Genomic DNA, 24,771 nt, shown 5'->3' on the forward strand with positions numbered 1-24,771 from the left:
TATTCATATTGTTGTCCAACGTATCTCTAAAACTTTTTTCCCCCAAAACTAAAACTCTGTACCCATTGAACAGCACCTCCCTGCTTCTCCCTTTTCACAATCCCTGGTACCACCTTTCTCCTTCCTGTGTCTGTGAATTTGACCATTGTAGGTACCTCACATGAGTAGTATAGTTGCTTTTATTACAGAAAGTGGGAGATGAGAGAATGCTTCACTTTTACATTTTTTCCAGTGGCCAGGCCCCAGTTTCAGTCATCACCAGTACCTTGTTGTGTTGTAGGCATCCCTAAAACTTCAACCAAAGGCAATGGGGTCTGCATTATAGACACTTAATAGCACAAGAGAAAAGGAAGAAGGAAATTGTGTTTGTCTTTTGATCATCAAGATAAATGCCTGGCACGTGGTAGATTCAAAGAGTGAATGAAATTTGTTTCCTCTGAACCATAGTCCTCAGCAGGTGGAATGGCAGTGGATGGTGTGAGGTTCCCACAATGCCCAGGTGTATCACCATCTAGCCGGGGAGCTGCCTTTCCTTATTCTGCAGCTGCTAGGCCATCAGCACTTTGTGGGGACTGCCCAAGCCCTAAGGGGAAATGTGGTAGTTTCAGCAGGTGGAGTTGATTCTCCTTTTCCAGGTATAATGGATCGGTGGAGATTTAGATAAGAAAAAGTAGCATTCAGCAGTAGAAAATGTACTACTCCTGGCTCTGCTATTGAGTCATTTAGTCAAATCACTTCATCTCTTTGGGTATCAGTTTTCTCATCTGTAAAATGGGCAGTTCAACCAGATTAGTAGTTTTTTTTTTTTTTTAATATTGAAAGCATTTATTAAGCAACAGAATTCTCTCTTTTTTTTTTTTTTCTTTAAGCGAGAAGTAGATGTGGGGAGGGGTTGTTGCATTTTTAAAGATTCCTGTATTAGGCCGGGTGCGGTGGCTCACGCCTGTAATCCCAACACTTTGGGAGGCCAAGGCAGGCAGATCACCTGAGGTCGGGAGTTCAAGACCAGCCTGACCAACATGGAGAAACCCCATCTCTACTAAAAATACAAAATTAGCCGGGCGTGGTGGCGCATGCCTGTAATCCCAGTCACTAGAGAGGCTGAGGCAGGAGAATTGCTTGAACCTGGGAGCCAGAGATTGTGGTGAGCCAAGATCGCAGCATTGCACTCCAGCCTGGGCAACAAGAGTGAAACTCCATCTCAAAAAAAAAAAAAAAAGATTCCTGTATTAGTCTGTTTTCACACTGCTGATAAAGACATACCTGAGACTGGGCAATTTACAAAAGAAAGAGGTTTAATTGGACTTACACTTCACGTGGCTGGGGAAGCCTCACAATCATGGTGGAAGGCAAGAAAGAGCAAGTCATGTCTTACATGAATGGCAGCAGGCAAAAGAGAGAAATTGTGCAGGGAAACTCCTGTTTTTAAAACCATTAGATCTCATGAGACCCATTCACTATCATGAGAACAGCACAGAAAAGACCCACCCCCATGATTCAATCATCTCCCACCGGGTCCCTCCCACAACACTTGGGAATTATGGGAGCTACAAGATGAGATTTGAGTGGGGACACAGAGCCAAACCACATCAGTCCCATTGGGAACAGTGTGGGAAAGAAATTGGAAGATGCACAAGTGGATGTGGAGGCACTCACTGCTCCAGGTAAGAGACAGGACATTGACTTAGCAAGACTTAACAGCAGGAGAGTGGAGAGAAAAGGGGGCCATGGAGAGAGATTTAGCGGGGAAAAGTCATTGAGGCCTGCTCATGGACTGGGCATGGGGAAAATGCAGAGGAAGATGTCAGGAGCAACTCCTAGTTGTTCACTTTACATGAAAGACTGTAGTGTTGATCCACTGAAATAGAAACTGCTGGAACTAGGTATTGGGGGAAATAACATGTGTTTGTTTTTGGATTTGTGGAGTTTGAGGAGCCTTGGAGACCTGGAAGTAGGCAGTCAGACGTACGGGTTTGGAGCTAAGCATCTGTGTTTAGAGGAAGTGATGGAAAAGCTTCTCTCTATGTCTTCCTCAGGTCATGTTGGCCCCCCTTATTTCCATTGCTCTGAAAGTGTCCCAGCTGCAGGAGAGGACGGGACGCACTGCACCCACTGTCATCACCTAAGAAGACAGGCCTGATGTGGTACGTCCCTCCACCCCCGGACCCATCCAAGTCATCTGATTGAAGAGCATGACAGAAACAAAATGTATTCACCAAGCATTTTAGGATTTGACTTTTTCACTAACCAGTTGACGAGCAGTGCATTTACAAGGCACTGCCAAACAAGATGCCCTTGGGAGCTGTGAGGGAAAGAGGACCTGCGGGCTTAGATCAATCTCAATTCCTTTTCATGCCCTCCTGCATTGCTGCTGCGTGGGTATTTGTCTCCTTAGCCATCAGGTACAGTTTACACTACAATGTAAGCTATAGGTGGAGCATCAGCAGTGAGTGAGGCCATTCTTCATCCTTAGGATGTGGCAATGAAATGATGGTGCAAGTTCCTTTCTCTTTTGTGAATCTTTCCCCCCATTTCCTGTTTACATGTAACCCAACAAAATGCAATTTCTAGTGCCTTCTGTCCAATCAGTTCTTTCCTCTGAGTGAGACGTACTTGGCTACAGATTTCTGCCTTGTTTTGCGACATTGTCCCATTCACACAGATATTTTGGGATAATAAAGGAAAATAAGCTACAATTGCTTGTCGTCTTTTTTTCTTAACTGCAAAGTACTTTTTTGATTTTAGAAAGAAAAACAATTTTTTTTTTAGAAGGAGGGGAGTATTGTATTTTGTTTTCATGTCCTAGTCAGAAAATGAAATGGTCTCTAGGCTAGGTTGCAAATCCTTAGACTCAAGAACTGTAATTTTTTTTATTGTCCTGAATATTCTAAAAAGTAACATAAATTTTAAGAGAATTGTAATTTAAAATCTTAGCAGGGTCAACTGAGCTCTGGATTCTTCCAAGGTAGACAAATCAAGCTTGACATGGTTAACTTGGAACAAGGGAAAGGAAGAGTGATTTTCCTCTTCCTAGTGCTTAAATAGCAAAGCACTGGTACGTGCTCTGCAGTGCGGAGATGCCTTGACGCTTATTGAAGGGATGGAGGCAGAACCCTCAGAATCTGAGAGCAGGGTTACTGACATTTGGCCAAAAATCTGAGCCCACTGGCATCTTATTCAGCTCAGAACACTTATATTCCATCCATGAGTATATTATAGTTAAATAAGCGTAGACTTGAGAGCCAACAGACCCAAGTTTGAATCCCACTTGAGACCCTGAGTGACTTTTGAATATCATTACCCTATCCTTAAAGTGGGGATGAAAGTAGTTCTACCTTTATGAATTGTTGAGTACCTTAAGTGAGTACATTTGTGTAAAGCAGTGAGCACAGTATCTAGTGCATGGTACATTGTTAAATAAGTGAAAACTAGAATTATGTTTATGATACCATTTTTAGATTTTAAAGTACTGTATATACAGGAAAAACAAAAACTGTAACACTAATATTTGTAACACATTTTACATTTCCAAGGTACTTTCACAAAGTCACCTTGCCATATGGGCTATTCTAAAAAGTCAGCCCAGCTCTGTACCCCTCCCCTACTCAGTATGGACTCCCTGATACAGGTGGCAGGATCTTTATCTGGGGTAAGATTTCCATTGTTGCCAGCTCAGCAAACAAAACTATGCTTTGACAATGATGACAATGATGGTGGTGGTGGTGATGAGTTTGTCTGGAACGTTAACCCCTTGCCAGGCACTTTCCATATATTCTTTCTGAGCGCTTTCCATATATTCTTTAAATCTTCCTGACAACTCTGAGGTAGGTACTCTGAATATTCCCATTTTACAGATGAGGTTCAGTTACTCAACCAAGATCACACTGCTGGGGAGTGGTAGATGCTCCCAGACAGTGCAGCTCCAGCCCTACAGGGTTCAAACCACTTCAGATTTCTTCTACGGACTGTCTACTTCTAGGCTACACCTAACGTGGAAGAAAGGTGTGCAAATGCCCCTGTGCTTTACGCATTAAAGGGGGATACTGTGTGCTCTGGATGCCAAAGAATCTGTTATTTTGGCATTATATTAGCTCCTGCAGAGATCTGGATATCTGGATGTATCAGTCAGCCCGGAAATATGTATTGATCCACATTAAGTGTGAGGTGCTTGGGAGGAAGAGCTGTATAACACAGAGCCCATGCCATCAAGCTGCCTGTAAGACTTGCCAGGGGAATCGAATCTAGCACAAGTAGAAACTGTATGGGATAAATGTTATGAGTTGTGTAGGTAAAACCTACATATTCTCCAAGCACCTATTCTATCTCAGATGTTGGGCTAGATGCTTTCCAGTAACCCTCGAAGCAAGACATCATTCTTCTCGCTTTCCAGTTGAGGCAACTGAAGCTCAACAGAAGCTCATTAATTTGCCCCAGGTTCTCAGCTACCGTGTGATGGAACTGGAATTCTGACCCTAAGTATCGTTCATGTTTCCTGACCCTTTTCTGCCTCCTCATCTCTTGAATCAGCTGCGGATACTCCCAGTTCTGTGGCCCCTGGAATGGCTTCAAAAATTTCCTCCTCCCTGATCGTATTTCAACTGCTTTTCCTGCCTCCACTTGGCAACAGCTTGGAAGTTAAAAGCTCAGGGGAGGAAGAAGGAGGTGGCTGGAGCCATGGGGCAGTGGAGGTGGGTGTGGGTAGTAAGGATCACTGTGTCTCTCCAGGGCTTCCAAAGAGATGCCGCAGTGTGTGTGCCCCAGGGAGTGCGGGAGAGGAGTCCTGAGAGGCGGGCAGCAGCACCCAGCCAGGCTTCCCCGCCTTCCAGCGTTGATGTGGTCTGTGAGTCAGGCTTGTTTTCTTTGGGGTGTGGTGAGAATTACAGTGAGAAAATTGGGTTGGAACTGTTTGGGGCCCAATTCTGAAATTTCACTTTTTCTCTCCCTCTTGACATTCAGCTATTCTCTCAGAGAAGCAGTTTCCTGTTCAGCGATGTGCCCCAGGCCTACACAGTGGCCAGGCTTCCAGTGGCTGGGCTCTGCCTCATAGGGAGTGAAAGCAGAGGCCAAGCTCACTGTGGTTCTGGGGAGTGTCATCTCCTTGGCCCTTCAAGGCCAGGCTTGAGGACAGGGTCCCTCTGCCTCCTCTGCCATGCTGCTTTCTTCAACGTTTCTTGTTGACTCATTAGAAGCTGGCCTTGCTTATAAGAATTCTCCAGAAAACATATTACCATGAGTAAGAGGTGCCCCCCTTGTGTTTCTGCGTTCTGAACCCCCCCAGCAGAGGGGGTTGGATATGAGTATAACAGCCTTCATGCAGGACTCACTGCATGGCCTGTGGGCTTTGGCGGGGGCACCCCATGGCCTTCTGGCCTTCCCACTTGCCCCTTCTGATCCATTCTCCACACCACCAGCTAAGTACTCTTTCAAATGTTGAAGTGCAGAGGCCTTTGTGTAGCCTCCAGGTCCGTGTGACTCACCTGCCTGTCACTTCCCGCTCCTCTCCCCCTACTCACAGCCTTACATTCCAAGCTTCAGTCTTGGGGAACCATGGCACCTCCCTCCTGCCCCCAGGCCTTGGAAGCTGCTCTTCTTTCCACCTGAATCACCTTTACCCTCCATCCCACCCTCCACTACATTCTCCACCTTTCCCCTCCATTCCACCATCCGCCATATTCTCCCAACTCCTACTTGTTCCTCAGGTCTCAATTTAAACATCGTTTCCTCCAAGAAGTGCTTTCTGAGCCTCCAGTGTCTGGTTTGGGAGCTTTTTCTGGTGTTCCTATCACCTCTATTTCCCCCTTCGAGGCGCTTATCCCATTCTATGTTCATAACCTGTTTACTTTCCATTTCTTCTACTGCCCTGGGAACTCCTACATGGCAGAGACTGCCTTTTTCACCAGTGTTTACCCAGGATCTAGGCCTGTGTCTGGCACATAGCAAAAGCCCCATTAAATATTTTCAGAATGAGTGAATGAAATCTACTAGTTGCACGGCAGAATGTTTCATTATGCTGGAATCTCCCTGACCTATAAGGCAGGATTGTCTCAATTTTACAGGTGACAAGTGATTTGAGCAACTTCCATGCTAGTCACTGGTTAACCAAGAACTCTTTCAAAAAGTGTTAGAGGCTGCAAGTGAGAAAGCACCCAGGAGAGGCGGGCAGGAGGGTACTGGCAATAGATGGGAGTTATGTGTCATGGTCACTTTGAAGAAAATGTTTAATTTAAATGATAAAACACATTTTATCTCCCACTGCTACAAAATTAATTGGGAGGTATAGTTGGGGAAGAGTTCTACTGAATACAGAAATGAGTGCTTTAAGGAACAGAATCAATAAAACCAGCCTCAATCCCCAAAGCCCCCCTCTGAGCAGATTCACGGAAAGGAACCCATGATGGGTAAAGTGGGTACCCTGGCACTGGGCGTCATGCTGGCATGGGGATCCTCCTCTGAGCATCTATTTCTGGAAGTCTGAGAGGCTCTTCTCAGTTCCCATTATCAGAACAAGAAGCATTCCCACAAGTGTGTCATTATCCAAAACAAGTGAGGTCACTGGCGGGAGCATGTCTCATGTCTGTCTGATCGTCCTATGGAAACCGTGGAGGGCTTTGGTTTGGTTTTCACCAAATATGAAAGCTCCACCTCCATCCAGTAAGTTGTCATTGTGGGTGTGGGTTAATAACTATTTTCCAGAAAGCATGTCTTATTGAGTGCAGCTCTCCAATTAACAGAAAGGCTAGTTACGAGTAGCAATCTCTTTGCTTCTCATGACGGTGTCATTTCATAAAAGCTTCATCTTCATTGGTTTCTGACTTCATTTTTACATGATGGTAGGAGTGCTATTATTATCCCAGATAAAGCAATGGAAGTTGTGAGAGTTTATGTGATTTGTGCAGAGTCCCACTAATGATGAAGGAGAAAGCAGACCAGCCACCTCCAATCACCCTTGGATGTTTGGATTTTTTTTTTTTTCTGTTCAACCTTTGCTGTATAACAAAGTACCCCAAAATCTAATGGTATTAAACTTTTGCATGATTTTATGATGCTCACAGACTCTGCGGGTCAAGAAGCCAGTCAGGGCACAGTGGAGATACAAGCTTGTCTCTGCTCCACAATGTCTGAGGCCTTATCTGGTATCTTTGTCTGTTTGGGCTGCTATAACAAAATACTGTAAGCTGGTGGTTTTGTAAACAATAGAAATTTCTTACAGTGCTGAAGGCTGGGAAGTCCAAGATCAAGGCACCAGCAGATTCAGTGTCTGGTAGGGGCCCACTTTCTAGCTCATACATGGTGCCTTCTTGCTGTGTCCTCCCATGGTGGACGGGGCAACAGGTCTCTCTCAGGCCTCTTTTATAAAGACACTAATCTCCTTCATGAGGGCCCCACCCTCATGACCTAATCACCTTCCAGAGGCCCATCACCCACTGCCATCACCTTGGGGATTTAGATTTCAACATGAATCTTGGGAGGACACAAACATTCAGACCGTAGGCTTTGGTCCTGGGTCCCCAAATTTCATGTTCTTCTTACATGCATAATATACTCATTCCAACCCATTAGCCTCAAAAGTCTTAATTTATTCTGTCATCAACTCAAAAGTCTGAAGTCCAGAGTCTTTTCTAAATATCAGCTAAATCAGATATGGGTGAGGCTTAAGGTGCAACTCATCCTGGGGCAAATTTACTCTCCAGCTGTAAACCTATGAAATCAAACATGTTATGTGTTTTCAAAATACAGTGGTAGGATAGGCATAGTATAGACATTCCCATTGTAAAAGGGAGATACAGGAAAGAAGAGGGGTAACAGGTCTCAGGACCCAGGTCTGAAACCTAACCTGGCCAACAATGTTAAATCTTAAGACTGAGAATAATCTTTGGTTTGCCATCCAACCTGCTGGACATGCTGGGGCAGGGATTGGGACCTCAGGCTCCAGATGGCCCTACTTCCGTGGCTTTGCTGGGTACAGCCCATGCTACAGCTCTCGTGGGTTTTAGTCAAGTGCCTACAGTTCTCCCAGGCTGGAATCACATATAGGCGGTTCTACTGGTCTGACAGCAGCTCTACTAGACATTGACCTAGTAGGGACTCTGCAGTGGCCCAGCCCTCTTGGCAGCCCTCTGCCTGGGTCACACACCTGAGGCTCTGGGTAGTTCCATCCTTTGAAATCTTGATGGAGGGAATAATGCCTCCTTGGCTTGTATACTCTATGTGCTGGTGAAGGTGGCATCTTGTGGACACTCCCAAAGTTTACTCTCTGTGCCCTCTGGAGGAGGAGCAGCTACAGAGTACCACTATGCACTTGAATTCACTAGAGCTGAACTTGGGGCAGCCAAAGAGCTTGGCAAAGAGCAGAGCCTTGAAATTGTTCTGTTCCCCCAGTCCCTTGCAGTCTGGACCTGTGAAGTGAGGGGGCAGCCTTGATGATCTCCAAAATGCCTTCGGGGTTATTCCATTGTCTTGCACAATAGGTCCTGGCTTCTGTTTAGACGGGAGTCTAATCTCCCCATTGTCTGGATGAATAGCTTCTAGCTTTGATTGAGATGGCCCCTCTGAACTAACTTCCTTATCAAACTTGGCCACACCCTTCATGTTCTCTCTCAAACAAGCTTTCTGATTTTTTCTAATATGGATAGGCTGAGAATTTTCGAAATTTTTAGGCTCTGGTTCCCTTTTGGTTAACAGTTTCATTAACTTTAAATCGTTTCTGTCTTCGCACATTTCACTATAAGCACTCAAGAGAAGCCAAACAGCACATTTTATACATTGCTTGGAATTTCTTCAGTCAAATATCCAATTTCATTGCTCACAAGCATGACCTTCTACAAAACACTAGAATATGAACATAATTCAGCCAACTTCCTTGCCACTTTATAAGAAGCATGGTCTTTCCTCCACTGTCCCATAACATGTTCTTCATTTCTATCTGAAATCTTATTAGAATGGTCTTCACTGTCCATGTTTCTGTAACTGCCCAATGGGTTCAGTTTGCCACTGCCTAGACAGAGCCAATTTCTCAAGACAGAGGAATTGCAATAGAGAAAGAGTAATTTCTTACAGAGCTCTCTGTGTGGGAGATCAGAGTTTTATTATTACTCAAATCAGTCTCCCCAAGCATTTGGGGATCAGAATTTTTAAGGACAACTTGGTGAGTGGGAGAAGCCAGTGAGCCAGGAGTGCTGATTGGTCAAGTAAGAGATGAAATCATAGGGAACTGAGGCTCTCCTCTTGCGCTGAGTCAGCTCCTGGGTGGGGGCCACAAGATCAGATAAGCCAGTTTATCGATCTGGGTGGTGCCAGCTGATCCATCAAGTGGAGGGTCTGCAATATATCTCAAGCACTGATCTTAGGAGCAGTTTAGGGAAGGTCAGAATCTTGTATCCTCCAACTGCATGACTCCTTAACATGATTTCTAATCTTGTGGCTAATTTGTTAGTCCTACAAAGGCAGTCTAGTCCCCAGGCAAGGAGGTTTGTTTTGGGAAAGGGCTGTTGTCATCTTTGTTTAAAATTGTAACTATAAACTAAGTTCCTCCCAAAGTTAGTTCAGCCTATGCCCAGGAAGGAACAAGGACAGCTTAAAGGTTAGAAGCAAGATAAGAGTTGGTTAGGTTAGATCTCTTTCACTGTCTCAGTTATAATTTTGTGGAGGCAGTTTCATTTCTACCAATGTTCTGCTCACATCCATATAGCTATTCCTTAAGAAGACTGAAGCTCTCTCTACAGCTCTACTCTTTTTTTTTTTAAGAGAGAGAGAGGAGTTTTGCTCTTGTTGCCCAGGCTGGAGTGCAATGATGCGATCTTGGCTCACTACAACCTCTGCCTCCCAGGTTCAAGTGATTCTTCTGCCTCAGCCTTCTGAGTAGCTGGGATTATAGGCATGTGCCACCACACCCGGTTAATTTTGTATTTTTAGTAGAGACAGGGTTTCTCCACGTTGGTCAGGCTGGTCTCGAACTCCCAACCTCAGGTGATCCACCTGCCTCGGCCTCCCAAAGTGCTGGGATTATAGGCATGAGCCACTGTCCTGGCCCAGCTCTCCTCCTTTTCTAAGCCCTTACCAGAATTGCCTTTTGTAGTTAATACATGGCAATGTAAGTATTTTCTAGCATGCAACTCAGAATTCTTTCAGTTTCTGTTGATTACGCAGTTCCAAAGCCACTGCCATATCTCAGGTAATTGTTACAGTAGCACCCCCACTTCTCAGTACCAATTTCCTATCTTAGCCTGCCTGTCTGCTATAACAAAACATCAAAAACTAGGTAACTGACACAACAGAAATTTATTTCTCACAGTTATGGAACTGGGAAATGTGAGATCAAGGCAGATTTGGTCTTGTGAGGACCCATTCTCTGGCTTTGGTAGTGCTGTCTTGCTGTGTCCTGACATGGTGGAAGGTGTGAGGGGTCTTTCTTGGGCCTCTTTTATAAGAGCACTCGTCCCATTCATGAAGGGTCTGCCTTCATAACCTTATCACCTCCCAATAGGCTCCAGGTCCTAATACCACCACCTTGGGGCTTAGGATTTCTTTTTTCTTTTGTTTTTTTTGAGATGGAGTTTTGCTCTTGTTACCCAGGTTGGAGTGCAGTGGCACGATCTTGGCTCACTGCAACCTCTGCCTCCCAAGTTCAAGCAGTTCTCCTGCCTCAGCCTCCTGAGTAGCTGGGATTACAGGCGTGTGCCACCACACCTGGCTAATTTTTGTATTTTTAGTAGAGATGGAGTTTCACCATGTTGGCCAGGCTGGTCTCGAACTCCTGACCTCAGGTGATCCACCTGCCTTGGCCTCCCAAAGTGCTGGGACTATAGGCATGAACCACCACGCTAGGCCAGGATTTCAACATATGAAATTCAGGGGGACACACATTCAGACCATAGCACCTGTAAACACTGAAACAGCTGGGAATGATTCAAATAGCTAGTACTAGAGTCATCTGGAGGCTTCTTCACTCGTGTCTAGTATGACTCAATGTCTTGGGTCAGCTGGGATTGTCAAATCTCACACCTGCACATGACCTCTCCTTGTTGTTTGGGTTTCTCACAGCTTGGTGCTGGCTTCCAAGAGAGTATCCCAAGAGCAAGTATGCCAAGAGGGTCCAGTGGCTGCTGTATTTTCCTTTCTTTCCTTTGGAAGTCATGCAGCATCACTTCAGCCATATCCAACTGATTACCATCAACTCACTCAGCCCGCCCAGATTCAAGGGGAGGGGAATTACCCTCTACCTCTTGATGGAAGCGTGGCAAGTTCATATTGCAGAACAGTACGTGAGATGGGGGCTAGTGTAGCCACTTTTGGAAAATACAGTATCCCAACAGGATTTTCCTATTCTAAGCATTTCGTCTCATTGGAACTGTGTGATACATGGTCTTTTGTGTCTGTGGAGCTCTTATTTTAACACAAGGCAAATGCCCCTAAACTAAGTGCTTTGCAAAGGTGACCTCACTATACCTTTATGAGATGAGGACTATAATATCCCCATTTTACAGATGGGAAACACAGAAAGGTTCAATAACTTGCTGCAAGTCCCAGCTAGTGAGTGGCGGAGCCAGATTTTGAACCCTTGTCCCTGGCACTGCTAAACTGTATGCAAATGAATGTCTTTTAGAGACAGGGTTTCATCTCCTCTATCTACAGTAAGAAAATGGAAGTCTATGATGCATTCATAGCTATTTATTGAGCCCCTACAATGTGCCAGACACTGCTACATCAGAGCCACAGATTAGGCAAGAAGAAAGGTAATTAAACCAATAATGGGAATTCCCTGCATCAGGCCTTGGGATAGAGGTCTCTGTGCATTGAGAGCTGTGGGAATAGAGGGATGAAGGCATCTGTTCAGGGCACGCAGCCCAGGGCCCGAGCCAACCTTTCTATCTCTGCCATTAGCAAAGCACACCCCCAGATGTGAACTCTTAGGGTTCGTTGCCGCCCTCCTTCAATGCCCCCAGGGCCTGCCGGGGAAAGGTGCCTGGCTTCACCTGGCCTGTCAGGGTCCAGGCAGAGAATCCTGCCCTGGCAGTGGCTGTCAAGGCCCTGCCTTAATCTCTCAGGTAGGCAAGCAGCTGCTTCCTCCTGACTGCAGGGCAGGGCGGAGCTGCCAGCCCAGTGTTTCTGGCCCACTCAGGGCCTTTCTTTTCTTACAAAGACTGCTGTGTTGGATCTGTTTTTCTAAGTCAGATAGTTATTTGATTTCCACCTCAGAACTCAGTGCCAGCATTCAGTGTTGCCAGCCTCACCGCCACCGGCCATGGTGCGAGAAGGAATTCGGGTTCCTGGAACATGGTCAGAGAATGCACTCCTTGATTCAGGTGGGTGGAGGTCAGGAGTGGCTTCCCACACCGGCGGCCTAACACTTGCCTGACTTGAAGGGGTTCTGGTGTCAGGAGAAGCTCAGGCTGTGCTCGGCCGCGTCACCTCTGTAAGTCGCCACAGACTGTAATGAAGACCAACCCAGAACATGCTTCTAATTTGTCTGTTCCCTCTGGGTCTAGTAAGCCGAGCCAGGGCAAACAGAGAGGACCATCATCCATGTGGGGTCATGCCTGGATGTGAGGTCATTCCTGGATGTGGGGTTATACCAGGATGTAGAATCCCAAGGCCAGGCTGGGCCTAAGTGGTGGAGAAATATTGTTAGTGGGGGCAGCCAAAGCCTCATAACCAAAGGGGACCCCAAACTAGGTTAAGAGGGAGGCAGGAGGTCTGAGCCAGACAGTGAGACAAATATGAGGTCTCTGGCTGGCTAAATTCAGGCCACAGGCAGGAAGAGGAATGATGAGGACAGAAACTAGGAGGGTCGGAAACAGGCTGGGAGGGGGCCAGGAATGCCCAGATGGCTGGCGGCCAGCTAAAAGTGAAGGACTGGCTAAAGACACCAGCTTGGAATTGTGGGCATGCGCTCAGAGAGCATTTTCTGTGGGTGCTTGTGCATCCTAGGCGGAGGGTCTTTCTCCGGAGAAGTTGTGTGTTTCTCACAGATGCCTCAAGGGTATAGCTAGCCTGGAACCCTTTTTAAAGCTAATTTATCAGCTTAGGGATTATAGGACCATGCAAGTGGAATGAAGTTTAACCCCAAACCCATGAACATATTCATGTTTAGAAAGTCCCAAAAGAGATGGCTTTGTTCTACCCAGAGCCCAGGCCAAGACACAAATGATCTCTCCATGGTGATGGGTACATTTTCCCCCCGGTCCATCATTTCATCATTTGCTGAGGTGCTCAGCTCTAGGTGGGGTTTGGGTAGTGGAGAGAAAGGATGTCAGATCTAATACCCATCTCATTTAGGCCCAAGACCTTGTCTTGTTCCCCCATGTGACTTAAAATCCAAATCTCTTGGTTACCTAAGAACTTTCTTTTCTTTTCTTTTTTTTTTTTTTGAGACCGAGTTTCACTCTTGTTGCCCAGGCTGGAGTGCAATGGCGTGATCTTGGCTCACTGCAGCCTCTGCCTCCCGGGTTCAAGTGATTCTCTTGCCTCAGCCTCCCAAGTACCTGGGATTATGGGCATGCACCACCACACCTGGCTAATTTTCATATTTTTAGTAGAGACAGGGGTTTCTCCAAGTTGGTCAGGCTGGTCTTGAACTCCTGACCTCAGGTGATCCGGCCACCTCGGCTTCCCAAAGTGCTGGGATTACAGGTGTGAGCCACCGCACCCTACTTACCTAAGAACTTTCTAAGGGAGCTACAGCTTTAGCTTCTCACTCAACCTTGTTTTCCTGTTTCCACCTTATCTTTGGCACATGAGGATTTCTCATACTTTCTTGCAAATTTTATTGTGCATTTACAAGGGCCTTTGCTGTGGTGTATGGAGTATTTCCGGGTAACTCATAGATAGCTGGGAGGTGTTTCAGTGTGCCCAGAATCTGAAGTCCTTTTGCTTCCACTCATGCCCCTCCATTCCACCCTCACAATAGCCAGTGTCATCTTAAAAAACAATAAAAAAAATTTTTTCTCGTTTTTCACTTGCAACTTTTCAATAGTTTCTTATAGCTTTTTGTTCATTATAATATTGTTTTGTCAGTGTTTTTGGATATCCCACAATCTTCCTCATTTCTCTTCTATAATCAGCACTCTGTTCCTGGGGCGAAACTCCTCTCAGATTCCATGTGGCCCCAGGGCTGTCAGTCACAGTGCCTTCCTTCCTTTCCCTTCCACCCCCATTCCTGCTACAGGGGCAGGAACTTGGCCCAGGGTAGACTAATCATTGGACCACATCCCTGTGGACATAGTGATTGGGCCAGTGAGTAGGCATGTGAACCAAGATGGACCAATCAGAGCCTTTCCATTATGTTTTTTCCAAATGGAAGGTAAAGGGATAACCTTCTTTTTGAATCATAGGTTACAAGGATATAGGCCTGATGAGTATCAGTGACTCTTTTTTCCTACCAGATTGACAGATCCTGTCAGTGCAGGAGAGAATGAGGTAAACTAATAAATTCAGAAACAAGCAGAGATAATAAATTAGTGGAAAAGAAAGTCTTTTTAAATTTTTTCCTTTTTTTTAGAAGATGGGGTCTCACTTTGTCACCCAGGCACCATCATAGCCCACTGCAGCCTCAAACTCCTGGGCTCAAGTGATCTTCCTGCCTCAGACTCCTGAGTACTTGGGACCACAGGCGCATGCCACCACATCTGGCTGGAAAATAAAATCTTTTTTTTTTTTTGAGGCAGAATTTTGCTTTTGTCGCCCAGGCTGGAGTGCAATGGTGTGATCTTGGCTTACTGTCATCTCCGCCTCCCGGGTTCAAGCGATTCTCCTGCCTCAGCCTCCATAGTAGCTAGGATTATAGGCGTGTGCCACCACACCCACCTAATTTTGTTTTTTTTTTTTTTTTTTTTTTTTTAGTAGAGACGAGAGTTCACCTTGTTTGCCAGGCTGGTCTTGAACTCCTGACCTCAGGTGATCTGCCCGCCTTGGCTCCCCAAAGTGCTGGTGAACCATCGTTGTTGTCTGGGGTAAATAGCTGAGGTTCATTGTCTCGTGCCAAGACAATTAAGGACACGGACACACGCAAGGAGTGAGTTTAGGAGTGGAGGTTTAATAGGCAAGAGAAAGGAGAACAGCTCTCTGGCTTGTGAGAGAGATGGGGCCCAAATGGGAATTCCGGCCTGTGGCAGAGTGCACCAGATTTTATAGACCGGCTTGAGGAGGTGGTATCTGATTTATGTAAGGCTCACAGATTAGTTGGTCCAGGCGTGACGTTTACATAGCAAGGGGGAAGGCTGGCCACCCCATCCTCATCTTATTATGCAAATGGCCTTTCCACTTGGCCGGCGCCATGTTGTCTGCTTCTTACTGTAAACATGGCTGGCAAAAAGGGAACATGAAGGCTACAGTTTGAACATGCCTAGTCCCAGGTAGCCTTTTCCCATTGGCACAACTGCCGGTATTCACCCTTGCAGTCTTCCAGCTTGCTTATCTATGTCTGCAGCTCAATTTTACAAGCTGCTCTTTGTTAGAAAAGAAAATGATTTGGGGGCTGCTTTTCGTTAAAAGGAAAACCTTGCCGAGAACTTCCTTACCCTCACTATCTGCCTAAATAATTTCTTCTTAACTCCTATATCACTGGGATTACAGGTGTGAGCCACTGTGCCCCGCCACGAAAACCCTGGGCTCTTGGATTCAGCCATATCTGGAACTTCAACTACAGGAACCAGCACATTGCCTTTTTACTTAAATGAGTTCCATGTAACAAAAAGAGACTTGACCAGTGTGGAGCCACATCCTTCACTTGACGCTCGAAGTCAAGGCCCTGTGTGATCTCCTCACCTCACACTACTGTTTTCCTCCTCCCAGGGATCCATCAATGGAGAACTTCTTTTAGTTTTGTTTTGTTTTTTTTTTTTAGATGGAGTCTCACTCTGTCACCCAGGCTGGAGTGCAGTGGCGTGATCTCAGCTCACTGCAACCTCTGCCTCCCGGGTTCAAGCAATTCTCTGCCTCAGCCTCCCAAGTAGCTGGGATTACAGGTGCCCGCCATCATGTCCAGATAATTTTTGTATTTTTAGTAGAGACAGGGTTTCACCATCTTGGCCAGGCTGGTCTTGAACTTCTGACCTCGTGATCCACCCGCCTCGGCCTCCCAAAGTGCTGGGATTACAGGCGTGAGCCACCGTGCCCGGCGTTCTTTTAGTTCTTCAAGCAGGCCAGGCTCCTTCTTATCTCATGGCCTCCTCACATGTTGTTCTTAGCTAATTCCTATACATCCTTCAGCTGTCTGCATGTAGGTCATGTCTTTAGAAAAGGCTTCCCTGACTGCCTGACTAGGCCAGGGTCCCCCTACAATCCTCCTCTCCAATATAAACTCCTGCAGCACCAATGCTTTTCCTTCTCAGCACTCATTGCAGTAGTAACGAATACATTCTTTGTTCACGAGATAATTCCTTATTTACAGTCCATCTTCACCACTGGACTATACGCTTCATGAAGTTAAGGACCATTTGTCTTTTTAAAATTTTTATTTCTTTTGAGACAGTCTCATTCTGTTGTTCAGGCTGGAGTTCAGTGGTACAATCATGACTCACTGCAACCTCCACCTCCTGGGCTCAAGCAATCCTCCTGCCTCAGCCTCCTGAGTAGCTGGGACTGCAGGTGTGCACTACCACATCTGGCTAGTTTTATTTTTTGTAGAGATAGGGTCTCACTATGTTTCTCAGGCTGGTCTTGAACTCCTGGGCTCAAGTGATCCTCCTGCCTCAGTCTCCCAAAGTGCTGGGATTAGCAGCATGAGAGACCACGCCTGGCCACGACCATTTATGTTGATCATCCTTATGTACTCAGTGCCTAGCACAGTGCTTGGCACAAAATAGGTGCTCAGTAAACATTTGTCAAATGAAAAAAAAATGAACGATTGAATGTTTGACTTGGAAACCCATGCCTTCGATCTCCACAGGCTTTGTAATCTAATACACAAACACAGGCAATCCTGATTCATAACGTGACCACAGAAGGTTCCCTGGGGTGGTAGAGAGCCTCATGCATGATTTAGTCAGGTATTTTGAGCTGGGATTCTGTCTGACCAGGCCAGAGTGGACCTTGCTCCCAGGAGATGGCAGTGTTGTGCAGTCTCTGACTCATCAAGGCTCCCACACTGACTTCCCTGAGACCCTGGAAGCTATCGAGCTGGACCTTGACCTCTCAAGCCGTGGACGCCAAGTCCCAGGGCCAGGTTTTTAAAGGAGCTGTGTGTTCAAAGCAGCTGAGAAGCAGAGCCTTTGTTCCAGAGACTGGCAGTCCCCCAATCCAAGATAAACAACCCTCCTCCCCAACTCGAATGATGGATCTGGTTTGGTGTTCTGTTCAAGAACTCTCTTTCCAAGAGTGGCTCAAAGGCTCCTTTGCAGCTTTTAAATTTTACAATCTCTTAGGAGAGAAGACCCAGGCCACAGAGTTGCTACCTCCTGGTGCTTTGGAAGATTCTCCCTATTCATACTTTCTCTCAAATCCCACAGCTGCTACTTGCTGTGAGTGCAGACTAGCACAACCACCAACACGGACCCACAGGTAGACCATCCTGTTCAGATCCTGGCTCTGTCACTTACCGTGTGACTTAGGACAAAGCCCTTACCTTTTCTCAATAAAAAGAATAGTAATACCTATTTCTCAGGCTTGTGCTGAATGATTAATCAAACAGTGCCTGGCACTGTGCACCTGGCACTGTGCCTGGAGCATAGTGGGTGCTTAGTAAACATCGGTTCCCTTCCCTCTCCCCCTCCCACACTGCGCTGCTGAAGGAGCTGGGGGAGGGAATGTGAGAAAGCCTCCGCAGCAGGATTTCACTAGCAAATGTCTAAAAACAACAACCTTCTTCTCTTCCCTGGAGCACCTTCCTATCCCCAGTGTGACTGTAAAGCCAGATTAAAAAGCGCCCATGGTCATTGGAACTCGCCCCAGTCAAATAATCCACGTTACCAGTCCGGTCCATGTCAGCCCGGCTCCTGCTGCTCCCCACTGTGGGGAGCCAGGTGCTCCTGGGAATCCTGAGGTTCACCCTGGCCCAGGGGCCTTGGCTCCCTTTCAGTTCGTTGCTTTCTTTTGTGGTGGAGCATCTGGGCTGTAGCACTGGAAGCGTTTTGGCCCTGCTGCTGGGCCCTTATCTCTGTGCTGTGTGAGCCCCATTCCTGCCACGTCGGAACCCATTAGGGACCACTCTGCTGAAGCTTTTGAAGGAGTAATCAGTTTGTAGAGGGAAGGGGCTGTGCCAAGCCAGGCCAGATGGAGTAAGTAATGAAGGCCCCAGATTAATCTCGCCTGTCTCTTTTTTCCAATATGAAGGCTCAACCCAAGAGCTTGGCAGTCTCAAGACAAATTATACTTGTCAGCTTCAAAGCATAAGTTCCCTTCCAAGCCAGAATGCACTTTCTCTCTTTCTCTCCCCATCCCCTTCTCCCTCTCTCCTGAAATACAAAACGGGAGTAAAAAATGGGGTGCATATGAGATGTTGTGACATTTTTGCATCATCGTAATAATTAGAGCCTCCACCGGGCATTTCCTATGTATTAGGCAACACACTGAGTCCTCTACATGCATTCAGCTTATTTATTTCTCACCATAATTCTACAAGATATATACTAGTATCCCCATTTTATGGATTAGGAAATCAATGTTCAGAGAAGATGATTGATTCAAGGTCACATAGTAAGTTGTGAAGCAAGGATTCAAACCTAGGTTTGTGTTACTCCAACCGCTATGGTATACACACCCTGTAGTTTTCGGAGCTGTTAATCTCTCTAACTTAAGTCTTCGCCTGGAGGAAGAGTCCAGCTCTGAAGCCAAGAACACAGTATCCTGCTTTTTCCCATTGTTAAACATTTTCCCTGCAGTCTTGGGGTGAGAGCAAGGCATAAGGGTTGGGTTCTCAGAAAAACATTTCCGGAGGTTACTTTTAAAAAATCCTAGTCTTTGAGATACAGATACATGGGAACAAAGATCCTGTGGTTAAATAAATTTGGGAACCACTACATGTAATTGTTCCTCCTGGAGTCACAAGACATGTGAGCAGGCAACAAGTCTTAAGAGGTCCTCAAAGTAAAGACGCCCAATGAACATAGTCCTATCCACTGTTTCCCCATATTATTTCGTCCACTTATGTTTTCAAGGCACACCTAGAAAGCCCCATGTCTGCACTATAGCCTTGCTACTTCAAGTACTGTGCTCAGATCAGCACGGCAGCATCACCTGGGAGCTTGCTAGGAATACAGAATCTCAGGTCGCACCCCGGACCCATTAAATTCCCAGGTGATTTGCGTGTCAGAGACACTGGGCTCTAGACTAGAGTATAACCAAACTAAGCTCAGTAGACTGGTTATCTCACTCAGGAGACAAGCATCATTAAGCCGCCCAATTTTTGAGTGACATCAACACAAGTGCTGTACATTTGGAAAACTAAATTAGAAAGGAAGGACCAGTTTCTCTTTTGCCCAAACAGCCCCAGAATCACAACTAAACAAAACATGGCATAAAGAATAGAATGCCATATTTTACTAGGGCACTGGCCCACTTCTAGGTTTTTGGTAATTCCTCACTAAGAAGAGTTAGCTCTGTAAACTATTGTTTTCACCTTTATTTTATACCTGCTGCCTCAGAACTGAGTTCTTATCTTTCTGGTTATCTTATCATTCTGGGTCAGATCCAGTACCCCCACCATCTGCCACACCTACTACCCCTTCTCCCCAGCACGATCTCAGCTCACTGCAACCTCCGCCTCCCCGGTTCAAATGATTCTCCTGCCTCAGCCTCCCAGGTGGCTGGGACTGCAGGTGTGTGCCACCACGCCCAGCTAATTTTTGTGTTTTTTAGTAGAGACTGGGTTTCACCATGTTGGCCAGGCTGGTCTCGAACTCCTGACCTCAAGTGATCCTCCTGCCTTGGCCTCCCAAAGTGATGGGATTACAGGTGTGAGCCACCGCACCCAGCCTTCCCAGCTCTTGCTCTCCATGTCCCTCCAGTGTCTCTGATTAGCTGAACTCAGCCAGCATCCTGTGGATAAGGAGCCTGAGAAGTGTTTGCCCAGACAGCCCATGAGACTCAGCATAGGGCAGGAGAAGGGTGGCGAGTGGATCTAAGAGCTAGCAGGCAAATGATTGCACGAGGCCCTACCCTTTATGTGAAGGAGGGCAGCAGACAGTTTCCTTCCTTGACAACAGGGCTGTAGCAGGGAACAAAGGGGATCTGATAGGAGGAGGACAAGAACACTAATGGAGTAGAGAGAAACCATAGGTGAAGAATGGACCTTCCCTGTGTCGTGGTGCTTCAGTGTTGCTGGGAACAAGGCTTGACTCTGGTCATAAAGTAGTACCTTTAATGCTTCCAACTCATCTAGCTCTTGTAGTGCCAGTAACTCCTGTATGCCCCATTGCGAGTAGTCTCCAGTATCCATTCAGATCAGCTCCCCTGCACTCATATGCAGCCCCCCTCCATTGTTCTCTTCCTGACTTTCTGACTCTCTTAGTTCCAGAGGCCCCCTCTGCTGACACACCACTTCAGGCCTCTCTTGTTAAGGAGATTTAGGACACTTCTCTTTGGTTTTGCCCCCAGAGCAAAACCTGGCCTGCTCCTGGACCTGGTTGCAAAGAATTTTAACTCATGGTCTCACATGGAGACCTAGGCATTCTAATTATCTTAACTGGCAGGATAAAGTAACAAGCAATTCTTGAATGGCTACTGTATGTTCACTGCTGTATTTGGGATCATGTGGAGGGCATGCTGGTCACTGGACAAGGATGCCAGTGGATTACCCTTTTTTCACTGGACAAAGATTACCCTTTTTTCTAGGTAATCCTTTCTCAAAGAAATTAACTGCCTGCCTGCCTGCCTGCCTGCCTGCCTGCCTGCCTGCCTGCCTGCCTGCCTGCCTGCCTTTCTTCCCTCCTCCCTTCATCAAATATTTATATACCAGCTGGGGAATGCAGTGGTGAACGGGACATAGTCTCTGCCCTTAAGGAGCCTCAGTCTGGTGAGGGAAAGAAAATACAATTATAGTTAAATGAAAGAGGTGCATACAGATGGCTGTGGAAGCACAGAAAAGGGGCATCTAATCCAGCCTTGGGGAAGGGGAAATAGGGCTGTCAGGGAAGATATGGAGGCAGTGATACCTGGCAGGGTCTAGGGTAAAAGCAGGAGTTGACAAGTTTAAAATAAAGTTGCAGGCCAGGCACAGTGGCTCGCTCCTGTAATCCCAGCACTTTGGGAGGCAAGAGGTGGACGGGTCGCTTGAGGCCAGGAGTTCAAGACCAGCCTGGCCAACATGGCGAAAACCCATCACTACTAAAAATACAAAAATTAGCCAGGCATGGTGGTGCACACCTGTAATCCCTGCTACTCGGGAGGCTGAGGCAGAATGGCTTGAACTCGGGAGAGGGAGGTTGCAGTGAGCCGAGATTGCACCACAGCACTCCACCCTGGGCAACAGAGCAAGTGAGTCTCTGTCTCAAATTAAATAAATAAATAAAATTTAAAAGTAAATAAAATAAAATAAAATAGGGTTGCCAAATTTTTCAAATAAAGATACAGAATGCCCAGTTATACTTGAATTTCAGATAAACAACAAATAATTTTTTTAACATAAGGAAGTCCCAAATAATGCTAAAAATAATTCCATTATTTAAATTTAACTGAGTGTCCTGGATTTTACCTGGCACCGCCAGAACTGTTAAGAGAAGTGGAAAAAGAGTTCCAGGCAGAGGGAGGAGCTTATTAAATACTGGGAATTAAGAAGACAGTGAGTCAGGGAAACCACAAGATGTTCAGTGTCCAGGAAGAGATGCTCCTATTTCCCAGCCTAGAACAAAGGGATCTGATAGCCCCTCAAGAAGAGAGCTCAAATCTTGCTTTTTTGTCTGTGCCTTCCTATAGCATCTACATGGACACCTGTGGGCATAAGGAGTCCTTCCAACTTCCACTGCCCTTGCCCGCCTTCAGGCCCATCCCATTTCAGATCTCCCAGCAGATTCTCTGCTTTCAACCTCTCTACCAGCATCCAATCCTGTCACATAAGGCTGAAGCTTCCAGGGCCACCTTATCATCATAGATGGCTAGAACTGGGAGGGCATTTGCATTTCAAAGATGAGGCAAGAGTGGATCAAAAAGAGAAAGTGGATTGTACCAAGGACACCCTTGATATGATCAAGGTTAGTGGCAGAGCAAGCATGAGAACTCACATCTGTGACGCCATCCAGGTTTCCTTCTTCTGTACCCCTCAGCACTCTTCCTAAAGTCTTGCTGCTATGACCCCTCCAAGCCTCACAATGAAATTCGGTCCCCAGTGTTGGAAGTGGGACCTAATGGAAGGTATTTGGGTCATGGGGGCAGATCCCTCATGACAGGCTGATGCTGTTCTCACGGTGATGAGTGAGTTCTCAGTCTGTTAGTTCCTGAGAAATCTGGTTGCTAAAAAAGAGGCTGCCACCTCCCTTCTCTTTTTGCTTCTCCTCTCACCATGTGATCTCTGCACACACTGGCTATCCTTGATCTTCCACCATGAGTGGAAGCAGCCTGAAGTCCTCACCAGAAGCAAATGCTGACACCATGCTTCCTGTACAGCCTGCAGAACTGAGAGCCAAATATACCTCTTTAAAAAAAATAAATTACCCAGTCTCAGATATACCTTTATAGCAACACAAATAGAATAAGACAACAGCTTTACCCATTTTGTCTAAATGTTTCTTATTTCTTCATTATCTCAGGAGACAATTAAACCATCCACTCAAACTTTGTCTTATTCATTATGGATGACTGTGTTTTCTCACCTTGAGTAGGTTGCTAATTCTCTAACAAATTAAGTATGTTTGGTGCTTGGGTGTCATGCCCTTCTCATGGGAACTTGTGAAGCCCAGGTGAGTTGATGTTAAGTTTTGGGTCCCAGAAGTCAGAGTTGGGCACAGAACTCTTACCACAATGACCAGTAGTACAAACCACTAGAACAAGGGCTGAGCCAGAGTTCTTGGAATTATCCAAAGATCAAACTGCAGAACTATTATATTAGTGCAAAAGTAATTGCATTTTTCATAATTGTGGTTTTTGCAATTAAAAGTAATTGCAAAGGCTGCAATTACTTTTGCACCAACCTAATATCTCTACGGGCACCCTGAACAGGAGCATGTGGGGTCAGGATCTGGACAGAAATGGAATGAAATGGTTGTAAGTCCAGAGCAGAGAGAAGAGGCAGCAGAATTAGCATGGCATTGTGGGATGAATTATATCCTCCACAAAGAAGATTTTGAAGTGCTAACCTCCAGTACCTCAGAATGTGACCTAATTTGGAAATGGAATCTTCAGAGAAGTAGAGTTAAAATGAGGTCATCAGAGTGGTCCCAATCCAATATGACTGGTGTCCTTCTAAAAAGGGGAGATTTGGACACAAGGGACAGACATACACACAAGAACAATACATGGACATGAAAGTGGAGATTGAGGTGCTGCATCTATAATTCAAGGAATACCGAAGGTTGCCAGCCAACCCCCAGGAGCTAGGAGAGGGGCATGCAACAGATTCTCCCTCACAGCCTCGGAAGGAACCAACCCTGCTGACACCTTAATCTCATACTTCTGGCCTCCAGAACTGTGGGACAATAAGCTTCTGTTGTCCTAAGCCATCCAGTTTTTCATGCTTTGTTATGGCAGCCCTAGCAAATGAATATACATGGAGTATCTTGGAGTGTGCCAGGATTCTGCCATGGACACTTGCTGTCCTCTAACTAGGTGGCATCATCCAGTTCTGTGGCTTCAAAGCCATCTCTAAATCAGTAAATTCCTAATTTAGATCTCCAGCCATGGGCTCATCCCAGAACTTGAAGCTTCTATATCCCACTGTCCATTTGTCACTTTTTTGGATGTCTTTTAGGCACCTCAAATTCATGGGGCTCAAACAGAAATCTTGATCCCCTGCATGATCATAGTCATCTTATTCTTTCCCTGGTGTGATGGTTAATTTTATGTGTCAACTTAGCTGGTCCAGAAGGTGCCCCAATATTTGGTGAAGCATTATCTCTGGGTGTGTCTGGGAGGGTGTTTCTGGGTGAGATGAACATTTGTGTTTGTGGATTGAGGAAAGTTGATTGTCTTCCCTAAGGTGAATGGACTTTATTCAGTCGAGGCCTGAATAGAATAAGAGGCTGAGTAGAAATAATTCTCTCTATATATCTGACTGTCTTTGAGCTGCAACATCAATCCTCTCTTACCTTCAGACTTGGACTGGAACTTACCCCATGGGCTCTTCTGGTTCTCAGGCTTTCAGACTTGGACTGGAACTCTACCATCAGCTCGCCTTAGTCTCTAGTTGCCACCTGCAGATCTCAGACTTCTCAGCCTTCATAATCACATGAGCCAATTCCTTACTCTCTCTCTCTCTCTCTCTCTCTCTGGTGTGTGTGTGTGTGTGTGTGTGTATGTGTGTGTGTGTGTGTGTGTGTGTGTATGTGTGTATGTGTTCTGTTTCTCTGGAGAACCCAGACCAATATATGTAGTTTTTCCTATCTCAACAAATAATCCCCAGGCATCCAGATGCTCAGGCCAAAAATCTAGGAGCTATCCTTCAGTTCTTTCAGTTCAGTGTGCCTGAGAGTGCCATCAACTTGACCTCAGAAATATGCTCTGAAACTCTCCACTTTTCTCTGCTGGTGCCACACAATTCAAGGCACCCAGATTACAGCAATGGGTAATCCACAGCTTCCACTCCTGCCTCACCCCCATTCTCCACACAGCAGCCAAAATGAACTCTTACAAACAAAACCACAGCATACCACCCTCCTTTTAAAACCTTCTAATGACTTCACAACACAC

General features: G+C 46.0%; 1 protein-coding gene and 1 long non-coding RNA gene across 4 annotated transcripts in view, besides 1 other annotated feature; both read left to right on the plus strand.

Annotated features, from left to right (window-relative positions):
* The window catches only part of PGM1 (phosphoglucomutase 1), a 66,835-nt gene extending 64,139 nt beyond the window's left edge, over window positions 1–2,696 (plus strand). For all 3 annotated transcript variants that reach the window (NM_002633.3, NM_001172819.2, NM_001172818.1), the window contains exon 11: window positions 2,037–2,696. In NM_002633.3, the coding sequence (NP_002624.2) occupies window positions 2,037–2,126 (90 nt within the window). In that variant the 3' untranslated portion in view covers window positions 2,127–2,696. The remainder of the gene's footprint in view (window positions 1–2,036) is intronic.
* Window positions 10,819–24,771, plus strand: part of LOC105378771 (uncharacterized) — a 59,685-nt gene continuing 45,732 nt past the window's right edge. Inside the window, exon 1 of the long non-coding RNA XR_947457.3 lies at window positions 10,819–12,302. This is a non-coding gene — a long non-coding RNA (uncharacterized LOC105378771). The remainder of the gene's footprint in view (window positions 12,303–24,771) is intronic.
* Window positions 17,417–17,918: an enhancer, noted in NCBI's record as "H3K27ac hESC enhancer chr1:64140637-64141138 (GRCh37/hg19 assembly coordinates)". NCBI's record gives its function as "activates a minimal SCP1, AML or CMV promoter by ChIP-STARR-seq in primed H9 embryonic stem cells {active_cell/tissue: H9 hESC(primed)}" and the evidence as "EXISTENCE:reporter gene assay evidence [ECO:0000049][PMID:30033119]".

The sequence above is a fragment of the Homo sapiens genome, chromosome 1 (genome assembly GCF_000001405.40).
Source record: "Homo sapiens chromosome 1, GRCh38.p14 Primary Assembly".
Lineage (NCBI taxonomy): Eukaryota > Metazoa > Chordata > Mammalia > Primates > Hominidae > Homo > Homo sapiens.